The sequence below is a fragment of the Homo sapiens genome, chromosome 4 (genome assembly GCF_000001405.40).
Source record: "Homo sapiens chromosome 4, GRCh38.p14 Primary Assembly".
Lineage (NCBI taxonomy): Eukaryota > Metazoa > Chordata > Mammalia > Primates > Hominidae > Homo > Homo sapiens.
In genome coordinates, this window is record NC_000004.12 from 3,306,329 (window position 1) to 3,322,871 (window position 16,543).

The 16,543-nt window shown below is 53.2% G+C and overlaps 1 protein-coding gene and 1 pseudogene across 14 annotated transcripts in view, besides 2 other annotated features; both read left to right on the forward strand.

The window, feature by feature from the left end:
* Window positions 1–16,543, forward strand: part of RGS12 (regulator of G protein signaling 12) — a 154,023-nt gene that overhangs the window by 20,438 nt on the left and 117,042 nt on the right. For 7 of the 14 annotated variants that reach the window (NM_001394155.1, NM_001394154.1, NM_001394157.1 and 4 more), the window contains exon 2: window positions 9,742–11,723. The exons of 2 other annotated variants lie outside the window; for them this stretch is intronic. In NM_001394155.1, the coding sequence (NP_001381084.1) occupies window positions 9,843–11,723 (1,881 nt within the window). In that variant the 5' untranslated portion in view covers window positions 9,742–9,842. Of the gene's footprint in view, window positions 1–8,482; window positions 8,622–9,741; window positions 11,724–16,543 lie in introns of those variants that run through there. 5 more of the 14 variants (NM_198229.3, NM_002926.5, XM_047416055.1 and 2 more) reach the window with 1 other exon arrangement.
* Window positions 1,996–2,714: an enhancer, noted in NCBI's record as "H3K4me1 hESC enhancer chr4:3310051-3310769 (GRCh37/hg19 assembly coordinates)". NCBI's record gives its function as "activates a minimal SCP1, AML or CMV promoter by ChIP-STARR-seq in naive H9 embryonic stem cells {active_cell/tissue: H9 hESC(naive)}" and the evidence as "EXISTENCE:reporter gene assay evidence [ECO:0000049][PMID:30033119]".
* Window positions 6,093–6,601, forward strand: LOC100286945 (X antigen family member 3 pseudogene; annotated as a pseudogene).
* Window positions 11,029–11,583: an enhancer, noted in NCBI's record as "H3K27ac-H3K4me1 hESC enhancer chr4:3319084-3319638 (GRCh37/hg19 assembly coordinates)". NCBI's record gives its function as "activates a minimal SCP1, AML or CMV promoter by ChIP-STARR-seq in primed H9 embryonic stem cells {active_cell/tissue: H9 hESC(primed)}" and the evidence as "EXISTENCE:reporter gene assay evidence [ECO:0000049][PMID:30033119]".

A 16,543-nucleotide genomic window follows, 5' to 3' on the forward strand; every position in this document is an offset into this window, starting at 1 on the left:
GAGGTGCGATGACGATGACATGAGTTTAGAGGAGGGTGTGGAGACGAGGAGACGGATGCAGGTATCACTCCACCATGGGGAGTGTGAGTGTGGGGGCAAAGGCTGATTTGGGAAGTCCCGCTCGATAAGCGGCACAGCCTTTCCACCCCTGTTTCATCTAAATTTCTTTAGCATAACTGGAGTTGAATATTTGGGCTCCTGTCCTGCCTTGCTTGTAGACATGTGGCACCCTCTGCTCCTCAGTCAGGCACTGGCCTTGATGACATTTCCTTCCTTAAACACAAATAGCTGTTGGTCTGCTCCGGCACCGAAGCCTCAGGATCACTGCACAGGGCCTGGGGAGGCAGTAACTGGTGCAGGGGACCGAGCAGGGAGCAGAGAGTGGTCCCGGGTGTCTGAGCCCACCCTCTGTGGCACTCTGCTTCTGTTTGGGTAGGGAATGTCCTGGGGGACGCTGGTGGGTGGGAACAACACAGCTCTTGCCTTGTGAACCCGGCAAGTAGCAACAGCCCTCACTGGAGGAGCTGGGTTGGGCTGGGTAGAGGGGTGATGGGGTGATGGGGTTTGGGGTCAGGGAGTGACGGTGGATTCCAGGTGCTTTTTTGGAGGCTTCTTCCTAGCTCCTCATTTTAGGCAACTAAGCAATGTGCCAGGGTGGGTTTTCGTCAGTTTCCGATGTTTGGTTTCCTTCTCATCACATCACTCTCTTTTCTGAGTTGGTGCTGACCAAGTTTGTTGTTGATGGATGTGGGGTTTGGAGTGAGCCCATCGTTCACACCTCTTAACTGCCTCCCCCCACAAGCTTAGGAGCTTTATGGGATGTGTTGCCGCTGGCTGCTTTTCTGGTCCTAGGATACGGCCTTTGCCGACGTGTTGCCGCCGGCTGCTTTTCCGGTCCTGGGATACGGCCTTTGCCGACGCACCTTGCTCTTAGGCAGACTGTCTTGGACATGAGCCCGCGCACCGCTGGGGACAGGCCACGCTGCGGCAGCGTGTGCACACGGCATGAGGTCCGTCTCCACCAAGCCAGCCTGGGGTGGGATGCTGTGGGTCTGAAGAGAGGAGGCCAGGTAGATTTTCGTAAAACTAGGAGTTATTTATTTTATTCATGATTATGATGGCCTTTATGTAAAACTTCATCAACCCTCTTACTTTTACTTTTTTAGTACAAAAAAGTTCTTTTTAGAAAATGTAGAAAACATGCACAGAAATAATTGCATTCAGACACTTGAGAAAGTCAAGAATGTTTCAGTCAAATAGGTTCTTGGCACCCTTCCCTCCTCCCCTCACTCGGCAGGCGTGGATCGCGCACCTGCCCTGGGCCGTGGGTGTGCCAGCCTCGAGGCCTCGTGGCCCCTGCTCGTGCCTAGAACTGTGCCTGGCATGGAGAGAGCGCTCCCCACTGTGAAGTGTGTGGACAGATGGCAGCCTGTTTCCTTGTGTTAGCAGAACTCCTTTAAGTGCCCTGGTGTTTGGGCGGGAGACGCGAAATTCTACACTCAGAAGGTCCTGCCTGACAAACAGTCCTTTTAAAAAGGGTCCTTCCTTCTTTCTTCCCAAAGTTCCAAAAAGTCTCTTAGAAAGAGCAGGGCATATTTTCCTTACCTGGTGTATTTGGGTTCCAGCCAGACTCACCAGGATGACTGGGGGCGCCTGGGCAGAGGAAGCGTGCAGGGGCTTAGGAAGCATGGCTGGTGTTTGTGCGATTCTTGGAGTGGTGCCTTGGTGAGCTGCCCCAGGACCATGCGGTCAGGTGTGCGGGCAGCTCTGGGCCCAGGGGCCGTGTGCACAGTGCCCGTCCATCTGGTGCTGCTAGGGCCCTGGCCCTGAGCTGGTTGGGGAATTGCAGGTCTGCGTCTGCTGTGTTCCTCCCAACGCCTGCAGCACCCCAATTTTTGGCCAGACAGGGCCGGTGCACTTCAGGAGGTGAACAGAAAGAAACACATGTGACGATCTCAACAGCCGGCGTTAGTAAGAGGCTGTGTCCTCGACGCGAGGGATTCTGTTCACTGTCACAGGACTCAGGGCAGGTTTAGATGTGAAGCGTGTTGGCTCGGCGCTCCTCTTGCTGCAGGCGGGCCGTGGCACTGAAATGGCGAGGCACCCTCCCCGTTTGCAGATTGTAAGTCTTGGAGCGGGGCTAGCGATTCGTACTTATTTCCGCGGGCGGCTGGGGTGCGAGGTGTATGGGGAGAACAGCTGGTCTGTGGTGCTGCGTGCTCTGGGTGGCCTGTGCAGCCCTGTGATGGTCTCCCCAGGCCACCACCTGGCTGCCTAAGGCCCACGCACCTGCAGGCTCTGTGTTCTTAGGTGTCTGGTGGCAGATTCTCATGCCTTTGTGTGAGACTTGTCTTTTTCTTCTGAAAGTTTTGTGGGACTTTTTTCATCTCCCTGCTCAGGGCTTGGTGGGCCCTTTGCATTCGAAGATTCTTGTCTGCCTTTAGCTCTGGGAAGCGGCTGGCGCCGTTCAGGGCTGGGAGCCGCTCTGTCAGGATTGTGCTGTCATCTGTTGCATCCCGGGTTACCTGTGCCCTCCCAGGCCCTTTGTTGAAGGCTGAGAGGTCTTCCTGGAAGGGACTGTTTTCCTTATGTTGCAGCCTGAGCCTGCGTGGAGTCCCAGACGCGGTCGGCACTCGCAGCACTGCTGAATGGCAGGTGTCCGCTGAGGGGAACCGGGCAGGGGAGGAGCTGGGACCTGGGAATGGCAGGTGTCCTCTGAGGAGAGCTGAGCAGGAGAGGAGCTGGGACTCGGGAATGGCAGGTGTCTGCTGAGGGGAACCGTGTTGAGGAGGAGCTGGGACTCGGGAATGGCAGGTGTCTGCTGAGGGGAACCGTGTTGAGGAGGAGCTGGGACTCGGGAATGGCAGGTGTCTGCTGAGGGGAACCGTGTTGAGGAGGAGCTGGGACTCGGGAATGGCAGGTGTCTGCTGAGGGGAACCGTGTTGAGGAGGAGCTGGGACTCGGGAATGGCAGGTGTCTGCTGAGGAGAACCGGGTGGGAGAGGAGCTGGGATCCGGGAATGGCAGGTGTCCGCTGAGGGGAACCGTGCAGGGGAGGAGCTGGGACCCTGGAATGGCAGGTGTCCGCTGAGGGGAACCGTGCAGGGGAGGAGCTGGGACCCAGGAATGGCAGGTGTCCGCTGAGGGGAACCGTGTGGGGGAGGAGCTGGGACCCGGGAAATGGCAGGTGTCCTCTGAGGAGAGCTGAGCAGGAGAGGAGCTGGGGCCTGGGAATGGCAGGTGTCTGCTGAGGGGAACTGTGTTGAGGAGGAGCTGGGACCTGGGAATGGCAGGTGTCCGCTGAGGGGAACCGTGTGGGGGAGGAGCTGGGACCCTGGAATGGCAGGTGTCCGCTGAGGGGAACCGTGCAGGGGAGGAGCTGGGACCTGGGAATGGCAGGTGTCCTCTGAGGAGAGCTGAGCAGGAGAGGAGCTGGGACTCGGGAATGGCAGGTGTCTGCTGAGGGGAACCGTGTTGAGGAGGAGCTGGGACTTGGGAATGGCAGGTGTCTGCTGAGAACTGGGTGGGAGAGGAGCTGGGATCCGGGAATGGCAGGTGTCCGCTGAGGGGAACCGTGCAGGGGAGGAGCTGGGACCCTGGAATGGCAGGTGTCCGCTGAGGGGAACCGTGCAGGGGAGGAGCTGGGACCCGGGAATGGCAGGTGTCCGCTGAGGGGAACCGTGTGGGGGAGGAGCTGGGACCCGGGAAATGGCAGGTGTCCTCTGAGGGGAACCGTGTGGGGGAGGAGCTGGGACCCGGGAAATGGCAGGTGTCCTCTGAGGAGAGCTGAGCAGGAGAGGAGCTGGGGCCTGGGAATGGCAGGTGTCTGCTGAGGGGAACTGTGTTGAGGAGGAGCTGGGACCCGGGAATGGCAGGTGTCCGCTGAGGGGAACCGTGTGGGGGAGGAGCTGGGACCCGGGAAATGGCAGGTGTCCTCTGAGGGGAACCGTGTCGGGGAGGAGCTGGGACCCGGGAAATGGCAGGTGTCCTCTGAGGGGAACCGGGCGGGAGAGGAGCTGGGGCCTGGAAGGCCAAGGCAAGGGCTGTCTCCAGTCCACGCTGCACCCCAAGAAGGGAAGTGTGGAGAGGTATTGACTGGTGGCTCAGTAAAATGGCCTGGAAGTGGCCTTGGTGATTCCAGAATCTGCCAGCTCACTCCCTTTGGCACCGTGTCCTGCTGTGTCCAGGGCGGGCAGGTCCATGCTGCTCTGGGTCCAGGGAAGGTCTGGGAAGAGTGGCCAGGGACTTGGAGGGCCTCTCAGGTGAATGATGGGAGGTGGCTGGATGCAGGGATGGCCAGTGCGGGTCTGCATGGGGCGGGTATCAGATCGTCTGGTGTGTGTGTCCCTGATGAGGTGGGAGGGGGGTGCCAGGTGGGTGTTCGGCAGCTGTGGGCACTGTGAGGTGGTGGTGGGGGGAGGCTGCTGGGACATGATGACTATGGGAGGGTGTGAGGTGGGCAGGCGCCTGCGGGGGCAGGTCCCAGGTGGAGAAGGTGGCGTGGTGTCTTGCTGTCTCAGGCCCTTCCTCTGTGCATCCACGTAAGTGTGGGTAAGCCAAGAATAGCCTGGGTTCAAATCCACCTTTGCCGTTAATTGGCTGTGTGCTGGTAGACAAGTTACTTAGCTTCTCTGTGCCCCCACTCCCTCATCTGCACGCGAGAATTGTAACAGAGCCTTCCTCAGAGCGATGATGGTGTTTAGGATGACATGCGCTGCACAGCAAGTCCTGGCCGTGGCGGCTGCCATTGCAGCCCGTGGGGTCACCCTGGAGGCCGTGATTGCTGATGTTGTGCTGTTCTTGTGCCTTGCTCTCTTCTTCTCGGTGCCCCCAGACTCTCTCTGCCTTCGGAGGACGGCGTCTCTCTCGCCTCACACTGTGTGCACGGGCAGTGCGGACGGGTGCTGGCTTGGTCTTTCCAGCCCTGCCTCGCTCGGGGCCTGCTGCATCGTAGCTCAGGCCTAGGACCCATCTCTGTACCTGCAGGTCTTGGGTGCTGCCCGGCATGAGTGGAGGAGTTTATCAGAACAGGACCTTTTATAGGAGGTTTTAACTTTAGAAGGGAATAGAAAAGTGTCATGGCAGCAATATTTATTTCTAGATCACCCTGAGTTTTTTTTCTTTGTTTTGTTTTATTGTCCTCTTTACACCATGAGTTTTTAATGATGAATGAGTGAAGGAGTGACAGTGCGGGTTGAGCATCCCTTATCCAGATGCTCCAGAATCGGAAACCCTCTGACACCGATGTGGCACCTCAGGCATAGCTGAGCTAGTGACACCTTTGCTTTCTCATGGGTCAGTGTACACAAACCTTGTTTCATGCACAAAATTATCAAAAGTACCGCACAAAATTACCCTCAGGCTGTGTGTATAAGGTGTATATGAAACATAAATGAATTTCCTGTTCAGACCTGGGTCCTATCCAAACATATCTCATTACGTATATACAGATGTTCCGAATCAGAAAAAATCCACAGCCCTTCTGGTCCCAAAAATCTCTTCTAAGGGACACTCAGCCTGTGTGACGTGGTCGGTGACTCCTGATGGGAGGTGGCAGTGCTGTGCGGCGAGTGGGGACCTTCGTGTCACATCCCATCTGTGCCTCAGGGCTTGGATGAATTACTTCTGGCTGGACCTTGTTCCCTTTTCCACACAGTGAAGAGGCTGGGTTAAATGATCTCCAGTCAAGGTGATTCAGAGTTAGCTGGAAGGTGTGTAGGGGGAAGTTGGAGCTTCCTGGCCTTGCCCCAGACTTACTAAGTCAGAGTCCCTGGGAGGTGCAGGGGCTTGGGAGCAGGCGTTCTTACTGGTAGCCCCGATGGTGTAATGGAAGTTCAGCTGGAATCCAGTACCCCATGGTCTTCTAAATTTCACTGTCTGTTCTGCTAGCTTTACTATTAATTGATACAGTTTTAAAAAAAATTAAACTATAAGCTGAACTTATGTGATTATTTTGGGAGGCCAAGGTGGGAGGATTGCTTGAGGTCAGAAGTTTGAGACTAGTCTGGGCAACATAGTGAGACCTCGTCTACAGAAAAATTAAAACATTAGCCAAGGTTCACTGGGTGTCTTCTCCTTGGCCCCTTTGCCCACGTGGTGAACACTGTGGACCTGTGAGGGTGTGAGGGTTGCGTTCCTGCGTTCTGGACTCTTTACCCACTACTGAGAAGCAGCCGTTTGAAATATGAGTTGGCAAGGAAGATCAGCATGTAGGCTTAGACCAAGACGGTATGTGCAGCCTCCTGAGCTAACTGGGCCTGTGCTTGAGCCCAGTGATGAGCAGCCTCAGCAAGAGGAACCACCACCTGAAAGTCGGGGTCTTACCTGGCCAGGAGAGAGAGGAAGATCACGGTGCTGCTGAGATTCTTGTGCTTGACCAGGAAGCTGATCTCCGGGAGCTGTCTCAAAGACTGGGATGAATGTGGAGATGGTCCTGATGTCCGGGGAATATTCTGCCGAAATCAGAGCAATTTAAATTGCCAGAAGGAGGTGAAGGGCAACCACAGGTTCCAAGGAAGACAAGCTGAAACAATGCAAACTGGTTTTATATTAGATACGTGACTTAAAATATCTCAATACAGTTTTCTCCAAAAAAAAAAAAATAGTTAGCCGAGTATGGGGGTGTGCTTGGTATGGCTTGAGCCCAGGAGTGAGTTTGAGGCTGCACCGAGCAATGACTGTGCCACTGCACTCCAGTCTGGGCAATGGAGTGAGACCCTGTCTCTAAAAAATAAAAACAAAGAAACGTGATTATAGATAATAAGATATTACTTACATGAGTTACAAACCATTTCTTTTTAATAAGCAGAGGCCCATGACAGTAAGAGTCTAGTAGAAAAATTGGGTGGACTGCATAGAAGACATTGTCCATCATTATGTCACACAGTGTGAGGCGGATGGTGCGAATAAACTGGGAAGTCATGTCTTTCATTGAGGCAGCATCTATTCCTGTTTGGAAGAGAAAGCCGAGAGGTGTTCTGTTCCCCGAGGAAGCCATCAAGGCTTCATGACCTGCTGTCCTGGGGCTGTTCACAGTGATAGCTGGCACTTGCCGGGAACAGCAGCACCTTTGTTGTGTGACAGATGCTTTTCTGAGCGTGCTTTAGTGAGACCGTTTCACGCATGTCCTGCTTTCCCTCTCCCCTCACCCGTGACAAAGTGATTCCCCCTTGTATTTGTTTCCTGGGGTTGCTGAAAGAAATTACTGCAAACTGGGGGGCTTAAGACAACACACATTCATTCTCCTGCGTTTTCGGGGGCCTCGTGTCTGCAGTCAGTGTGACCTGGCTGATGGCAGGTGTGGCAGAGCTGGTTCCTCTGGTGACTTTAAGTCTGCTTCCTTCACCTTTCCGGCTTCTGGAGGTGACCGCCTGCCCGTCTGCCTGGGCTCGAGACCCATCCTTGAATCCCTGCAGTCTCCGCATCCTTCCTCATGTGGCCGTCCCCTCTGGCTCTGACCCCAGGCTCACACAGGCGCACCCCACACTCTCCCCATCTCTAGAGCCTTCACGTGGTCACGTGGATGGGAGGAGCCATCCAAAAGCTTGGGAGTGAGGATGTGGGTGTATCAGGGGCCATCAGCCAGCCTGTCACACCTCTTAAGAAGATCGATCCCCAGACGTGTTTCTTGGCCAACTTTTACATTTATTTATTTATTTTTTAATGATGATTTTTAATAATTTTTAATTATTAAAAAATTATAAAATAATTTTAATTATTTTATTTTTTAAATTCATTTTTTAATGATTTTAAATAGTTAAATGCCCAGTCCTAATATTTAAATTATTAATACAGTACTACTTAGATATTGAGTAATGTAATTTATATTCATTTTTTACTCTTTTCCATCAAAACATAATTTTACTAAGTACGCATGTTCTGTGTCCGTGTTTTGTCATCACTGAAGCCACTTTTGGAGTCACCTAGTAATAGCCTTTCCACTCTATCTAGTTCTGTAGCTTTTATGTGTGTAAATTACTTCAAATCTGTTTATGATCCTATTGCTGGAAACTTTATCCCAAGACACAAAAATCTTTTCTATTAGAAGTTATTAACTTTAAAACAATTATTTATTTTATTTTATTTTATTTTTTGAGACAGAGTCTCGCTTTGTCACCCAGGCTGGAGTGCAGTGGCACGATCTCGGCTCACTGCAAGCTCCACCTCCCGAGTTCATGCCATTCTCCTGCCTCAGCCTCCCGAGTAGCTGGGACTACGGGCGTCCGCCACCATGCCCAGCTAATTTTTTTTGTATTTTTGGTAGAGACAAGGTTTCACCGTGTTAGCCAGGATGGTCTTGATCTCCTGACCTCGTGGTCCACCTGCCTCGGCCTCCCAAAGCGCTGGGATTATAGGCGTGAGCCACCGCACCTGGCCTAAAACAATTATTTCTTTAAAAAAACATACCCTCTATTCTATTTTGTGTCTTCACAACACAATCACTTACTGTATTGCTTTTTAAAGTGATCTTTAAAGAGTCTTGCAGAAGAGACTACACAGCAGGCCCGAGACCATCCTGAGAGGCCTGTGTGCAAGGCTGGCCCCCCGCTGGTGTCAGGACGGTGCCCACCACCCTCAATGAAGAGGGGCTCCCTGTGCTTAGCTGCTTGTGTGGGGAACAAGGTTTGTGCTGAGAACCTTCCTTTCTTCTGGGAGTCCAGAGTCTGGGCACGAAGCAGGCAGAGGGTGCCCATGTGCCCAGCCCCCAGTAAAAACCCTGGCACCGAGTCTCTAGTGGGCTTCCCTGGTGACGACACTGCACATGCGTTGTCACGGCTCACTGTGTAGGGAGTTAAGTGCGTCCTGCGTGACCCCGCTGGGAGAGGATTCTGGAAGCTCAAGCCTGGTTTCTTTGGGACATCGCCCCATGGACCTCTGCCCTTGCTGATTTTGTGTGGAATCCTTTCGCTGTAATGAATCTCAGCTGTGAGAGCACCTTTGTGCCAAGTCCTGGGAATCCTAGGGAATCACTGGCCTGGGGGTGATCCGCGGACCACTGACAAGTTTGTTCTCAATGACAACCAATACTTTTATACCCCCTGGAAGAATTGAGTTAATATGACATTTCTGCTTTTTTAGGTGGTGGTTTTTATCTAGCCTGTTGAGTGGCCTCTGCAGTATTGATCGAGGTTGTTTCAGGCTAATACGTTTTCCCCCACACAGTATATTCAAAATAAATTAATGTGGGAGGGTCATGGAATATTAGGTGACCCCTCTCCTGAGGGAAAACTCTATGTCAGGGGATTTATGATCAACTAAGGGGTTAGACTCAGTGTTCTGCAGGTGCCTTTGAACCTGAAGCCTGTAGCAGGCCTTGCTTCTCACGCTTGGACTCTGCCATCCTGTGAAACGTGGGTTTGGGTGTGTTTCTTCTGTGTGGAGCCCGAGAGTCTGCCTTTCAGACGGGCTGCCAGTCCACGGACCACACTTTGAGTAGCAAGGGGCTCTTTCCATCCAAACAGGGTGTGGAAGCAGTGCTGGGAAGCAGTCCTGCATCCTCACACCCGTGGCAGGTGGGCCTGGCAGGAACTTGTGTGGTAACAAGGTAGCAGTTGTGGGAGACATTTTCTACTCCGAAAGGAAGTTTCTTAGCCTGACTTGAAGATTTATTATCTATAGACACTTAGAGGCTCTTTCTGTGGTGGTTTTTATTATGAATTATCTTTTTGTGTTTAGCTAATACCAGTGAGTGGTGGAGAAAGATGGGCTCTTTAATAATGAGCTGTTCGTTTTTCTTTCTTAGGGCACTGTTTGAAGAAGCAAACATGGTAGCATCAAGCATTCCTTGAAATATGGCTCCAAGGGAACAATGAGACGTGCTCTTGGTCTTGGAAGCTCATCAGAATGTTTAGAGCTGGGGAGGCCTCCAAACGCCCATTGCCTGGGCCGTCGCCCCCAAGGGTGCGGAGTGTGGAGGTTGCCCGGGGGAGGGCCGGCTACGGATTCACGCTTTCGGGACAGGCACCCTGTGTGCTCAGCTGCGTCATGAGAGGGAGCCCTGCGGATTTCGTGGGCCTCCGAGCTGGAGACCAGATACTTGCTGTCAATGAAATCAACGTGAAAAAAGCATCTCATGAAGATGTAGTGAAATTAATTGGGAAGTGCTCTGGTGTCCTTCACATGGTGATTGCTGAAGGCGTCGGCCGCTTCGAATCCTGTTCCAGTGATGAAGAAGGGGGACTCTATGAAGGAAAAGGCTGGCTGAAGCCCAAGCTGGATTCTAAAGCACTAGGTATAAACAGAGCAGAGCGAGTCGTGGAGGAAATGCAGTCTGGTGGAATTTTCAATATGATTTTTGAAAACCCGAGCCTTTGTGCGAGCAATTCAGAGCCCTTGAAATTGAAACAAAGATCCCTTTCAGAGTCGGCCGCAACTCGATTTGATGTTGGACATGAAAGTATAAATAATCCAAATCCCAACATGCTTTCTAAGGAGGAAATATCAAAAGTTATTCATGATGATTCGGTTTTCAGCATTGGACTAGAAAGTCATGACGATTTTGCATTGGATGCAAGTATTTTAAACGTGGCGATGATCGTGGGCTACTTAGGCTCCATTGAGCTTCCTTCCACGAGCTCCAACCTGGAGTCCGACAGCTTGCAAGCCATCCGCGGCTGCATGCGGCGCCTGCGGGCAGAGCAGAAAATCCACTCGCTGGTGACCATGAAGATCATGCACGACTGTGTGCAGCTGAGCACTGACAAGGCTGGAGTCGTGGCCGAGTACCCGGCCGAGAAGCTGGCCTTCAGCGCCGTGTGCCCGGACGACCGGCGATTTTTCGGGTTGGTTACCATGCAGACGAATGACGACGGGAGCCTGGCCCAGGAGGAGGAGGGCGCCCTGCGGACTTCCTGCCACGTGTTCATGGTGGACCCAGACTTGTTTAATCACAAGATCCACCAAGGCATTGCTCGGCGGTTTGGGTTTGAGTGCACGGCCGACCCAGACACCAATGGCTGTCTGGAATTCCCGGCGTCCTCCCTCCCCGTCCTGCAGTTCATCTCTGTCCTGTACCGAGACATGGGTGAGCTGATTGAGGGCATGCGGGCCCGCGCCTTTCTGGACGGGGACGCCGATGCCCACCAGAACAACAGCACCAGCAGCAACAGTGACAGCGGCATTGGGAACTTCCACCAGGAGGAGAAGAGCAACCGGGTCCTTGTGGTGGACCTGGGTGGGAGCTCGAGCAGACACGGCCCCGGAGGCAGCGCGTGGGACGGTGTGGGTGGGAGGGGTGCCCAGCCCTGGGGTGCTCCCTGGACTGGGCCCTTCTGTCCGGACCCCGAAGGGAGCCCCCCATTTGAGGCCGCTCATCAGACTGACAGGTTCTGGGACCTAAACAAGCACCTAGGGCCAGCCTCTCCTGTGGAGGTGCCCCCAGCTTCCTTGAGGAGCTCAGTCCCCCCTTCCAAGAGGGGCACCGTGGGTGCTGGCTGTGGTTTCAACCAGCGCTGGCTCCCGGTCCACGTGCTCCGGGAGTGGCAGTGCGGACACACCAGCGACCAGGACTCTTACACAGATTCCACCGATGGCTGGTCCAGCATCAACTGCGGCACACTGCCCCCTCCTATGAGCAAGATCCCCGCAGACCGCTACAGGGTGGAGGGCAGCTTCGCGCAGCCCCCGCTGAATGCCCCGAAGAGGGAGTGGTCCAGGAAGGCCTTTGGAATGCAAAGCATTTTTGGTCCCCATCGAAATGTTCGAAAGACTAAGGAAGATAAAAAGGTAAGCCTGCCAGGAGCCACTCAGCGCGGAGGCCCGGCCTCCTCACTTAGCAGTCACGGGGAGGTGACTCCCAGTCACCAGCTTGCACAGTCCTGGCTTCCTCCTGCTGGCCCTGTGGCCTCTGTGGCCATCACAGGGTGTCTGCGTTGCCTGTGGGCTGCGGACTGTGTCTTGCTGGGACCTCTTGCCCCCTGCCCTGTTCGAGTCCTTGGTTCTGGTTCTGGCTCTGATGGCTGGTCCTGGGCAGGACATCTGGGCAGGACTGGTGGTGGCGAGAGGGAAGTTGTTGTCTTGGAGCTCAGGATAAGGCCCTTCCTCCCCTTCCTGCTCCTCCCTAGCTCTGTCCCTGTGGCTCCTTGAAGCCCATTTTAGGTCTGACCCCAGAATCTTCATCCCAGTGTCCCACACCCCTCTTGAGGCGAGAATATTCTTGAAGCACTGAAAGCTGGTTCCTCGTGCTGTTTCCTCCATGGGGAATATCCTGTTGTGTAAAACACCAGCTGGACTCCGCAGTGGGCCTGGGGAGCCCCACGCCGCCTGCTCACTGAGGGGTACCTCAAGGTGTGTAGTGCTGCCTTGAAGACCTGGACCCATCAGCATCCCTTTGGGGGCCCTGCCTTTAGGAGCTAAGTTTGGAGCAGGAAAGAGTAAATGAGCAAAGCTGGGAACCCTCTGGAAGGGACTTTGTCCAGCAGGAGGCGGTGCTGCCAGTGTGGGAGTGTGCGGGGCTGTGCCTGTGCGGTTGGGTGCAGGGAACCCTCTGGAAGGACTTCCTCCAGCCAGAGGCGGCGCTGCCGTGTGGGGCTGTGCTGTGTTTGGAGCCAGGGCCCTTGTGACAGGTGATGGGGGTGGGCACTTAGCTCCCTTTGTTTCAGAGAAACTACTCCGGCTGTTTACGATGTAAAGACACCTTTTTAGTGTTTGTTCACATCCTGAGACCATCCTAAGAAGACCCTCTAAGGCTGCTGGCTGGGTAGGCAGGGCCGGGGAGTAGGAAAGGCCGTGTTTGATGAATATTTCTACTTGATTCCCCCTCCCCTAGTGTTTTCCATGATGAAATGTAGCACCTGAGAGCATTTAAAGGCAAGGAAGGAGCCGGCTGCCGTGGCACACGCCTGTAACTGAGTGCTTTGGAGGCTGAGGCAGGAAGCTCGCTTGAGCCCAGGAGTTCAAGACTGCCGTGAGCTGTGTTGCAGCCACTGCACTCTAGCCTGGGTGACAGAGCGAGACTCTGGCTCTAAAATAAAATAAAATTTAAAAAATGGAGGAAGAACAGATTTCTCGTTTTATCTCCTCAAAATGATCACTGATAACATTTTGATGTATGTAAGCATAGAATTTTTTTTTTTAAAACACTTGTAATCATATGGATTTTCAACATCCTCTTTATTTTTGGGGACAGGGTCTGGCTCTGTTGTCCAGGCTCAAGTGCAGTGGCTCTATCATAGCTCACTGCAGCCCCTGCTCCTGGGCTCAAGTGATCCTCCCACCTCAGCCTCCTGAGTAGCTGGGACTACTGAGTAGCTGGGACTACAGGCACTTGCTACCATGCCTGGCTAATTTTTATATTTTTTGTAAAGATGGGATTTTGCCATCTTGCCCAGGCTGGTCTTGAATTCCTGAGCTCAAGCGATCCTTCTGCCTCAGCCTCCCAGAGTGCTGGGATTACAGGCATGAGCCACACGCGCCTGGCCTCAGCCTCCTTAGAGGAGTCGTTCTGCAGCTGCACGTGCTGCTGCTGTCTTTCCTTGTCTCTTGATCTGAGCCCTGGTCTGGATTCTCAGGGAGGTGCCCTCCTGCCCGCCCTGGGCCTCACCTCACTTCTCCGTGGAGCCTGTAGGTGGTGGGGCAGGGCCACTCCCAGGGAGCTGGCCTCAGTGTGGGCTGCCTGTATTGGGCAGGGATGGGAGGTGAAGGGCCCTGGAAAGTGGTGAAAATGTTCTTTGGAATCAGGAGATTCCTCATCTCTTTGAGTACATATTTAAAACTGTGTTTTCTCCACTGCTGTGGTGTAGTGAAGGTTGACACTGGTGTTTATGTGGTTCTTTGTGGATTACAGGGCACCTTCACCTGCTTTCTCCTTGAAATTCAAAGTGACCTGGACAGTGGGGAGTATGATGCCATTTTAGATAATTGGCAGTGGTGCTTATGGTCCTCAGCGGACCTGAGAGACAGATAATGCTGTCGTCCCCATCCCACCAGTGAATGGACTCCTCCTTGGGGCGGGTGACATGGGGGAATAGGTGGGGTTGTGATGCCAGCCTTGGGCTTCTTTGCAGTGAAGATGAGGGTCCTGGCTGTTCCCACCCACACTGGAGCAGAGCAGAAGGGGAGCTAGCATGTCCTCAGGGTTGGAAATAACGGTGTGGCGGTCACTGCTTTGCAGAGTGCATCCTTACCTTGATAGGAATCCTGAGGCCATCAGGCCAGGCGATTGAGGTTTGGCTGTCAGGTGACTTGCTCACAGTCACAGGGCATGTGAGTGCTGGGACCAAGACAGCCCTGGCGCTCCGTGTGGGATTTGGAGTGGCCTTCATAATGTGGCGTGATACACTATCTAAAAATAAACAGGTAGTAACGTGTTGTGTTTTATGGGTTCCTGCTGTAATCTCTTGAGGTTTAAGTGTTGCTGTTTACTTTGCCAAGTGGGCCTCCCTGTGTAGTTAGGTGAGTCTGATCCCATAGCCTCCCCAGTTAGAGCAGCAGAAGCTTCCAGGGGTCATGAGGCGGCCACAAGATGGGTCCGGACGTCGCCGTGGACAGGTCTGCAGAGTTTCGAAGGTGGCCGTGACCGTCCGCAGCGATCAGGGCCCCACCTGGACGCTGGCCTGTGCTGAGAGAAGGGGCCAGCAGGGATGCAGGAAGTGCCTGGAAGTTAGAAGAAGCAGCAGAGTTGGCACAGGGAGGGAGAGAGCAGAGGAGGCCCCTGGAGGGTGCCATGGTGTCAGGCAGCGAGCTTCACGTGACTCCGGATTCTTAGTGACGGGGACTTCAGGGCTTTACTTTGCACAAACTCAGGTGGAATCAGTCAGGATCCAGCCAGGAGACAGGAAACGCAGCAGTAATTTGAACAGGAAAAATTCAGTATACAGAATCGTTAACAAAGGAAAAGAAGGTTAGCTGCTGAAAGAGAAAAGAAAGGCTAAGGTCATCAGTGTGGAAAGGGGCTGAGTCTAGAAAAGTGGGCGTGGGAGGCTTAGATACCCAGAGTAGGGGCCTTATCTGACAGGACTGTGAGTCCATCGCAGCTGTGAGAGAGTGAAGCAGCTCCAGGTGAGGATTGGTGGCTGTCCCCAGTCCCCAGGAAAAACGATGTGGGACCCTCACATGCCAGTCCACCCCACTCCATCTGGGAGGCAGTGCCTGTGCCCATTGCTGAACATTGAGCCCCTGGGCAGGAGCCATGTGGTCTTCAAGGCCCAGTGCCAGGATCAGAAGCTGGGCACGGCAGGGTGGGTTTGGCGCTGAGAAGAAATGCCTTGGTGTCTGGCACAGTGCCCCGTTAGGCTACCCAGCGTCTGTATGCACCCTTCTTCAGCACCCCCAAGGGCATCTCACTCCCAGCTTCTGCTTTTGAGTCCGCCTTGGCTTGCCTGCACCCCAGGGCAGGGTTTTCTGTGGCTGTGGAGCAGCTCCGGCCTGGACAGCCACGTCAGCTCCTCCCCCCAGTGGACTGCAGGCATGTGGTGTCCAGCGCGCTCTGAGGCCCAGGCCTGGGCAGGGGCCCCTGCTGACGGTGTCCTTGGCTTAGGCACTCGCCCTTAGCCCTAGAACAATCTTCAGCATTCCCTCTACACAGTTATTACTAGTTCTATGAATGTTAAACGTTCCCTTTGAAATTACTGGCACCAGCCTTTCTTAATCTGTATGCAAAATAAGCTGACTATTAGAAGAAATATAATACTGCATCTAGTCACAAGTTGGTCTCTAAGGCCAATAGTTCTGTGTCCTAACTGCCACCAGATTCTCCATTGTTGTCCTTTGCCAACGCTTTTGTCACTGCCGCCTCCATCCTGCTGTCTGCAGGCTCAGCCCGGGTTTCCGCCCTCAGTGGCCACTTGCTCCTGTGAAAGCCTGGGGACCAGCGAGCCAGACCCCTTGTTGCTCGGCATTTCTACGTCTCCTTGGTGAGATGGAAAGCTCTAACCCCCTGCACACCGAGCCACGTGGTGACCTTGTGCCAGCTCATCCTTGTCAGCTTCTCCCTCCTCTGGGGAGGAGCAAGGAAGGGGAGCTGAGTTACTTGTAGACTCGCTGAGGGTCTGAAATTCTTGAAGTGGGTGAGATGATGTTTGGAAGTGGACTGCTTTCCCTTTTGTGTAGTTTGCTCTTTGTCTCTGCCTAATGTCTGTAGCCAGCACAAGCTGGTTCTCATGGAGATAAGCATTCAGGCCTGTGACTAACAAAAGGGGCTGATGTGAAAGAGAACCCAGGATCTCGAAATGCTTCTGTCATCAAAAATGATTGCCTTGTGTTTCATTTAAGGCAAGCGTGTTTAATTCTGTGTCTCTGCAAACTGACTCAAAGTTATATTAATTAATTAAATTAATTAATTAAAATACCTGGTTAAGTAGCAGCACCCAAATTCTTAAAATTTCCATACAATGGATTTTGGAAATTTTAAAAATGAAAATATGTTATTTGTGATATGTAAAGGATTGATTGGTGTAATTTTGAAATGAATGAATACATATTTTTAAATTCCTCAGTTTAATTTCTGGTATGAGAAACATCAGTAGCTGAAACCCACAAAAATAAAGACTCGCTGAGGTGCTCAGTCGTTTGTAGGTACTCCCAGGAGTCCTGAGACCACAGCACTT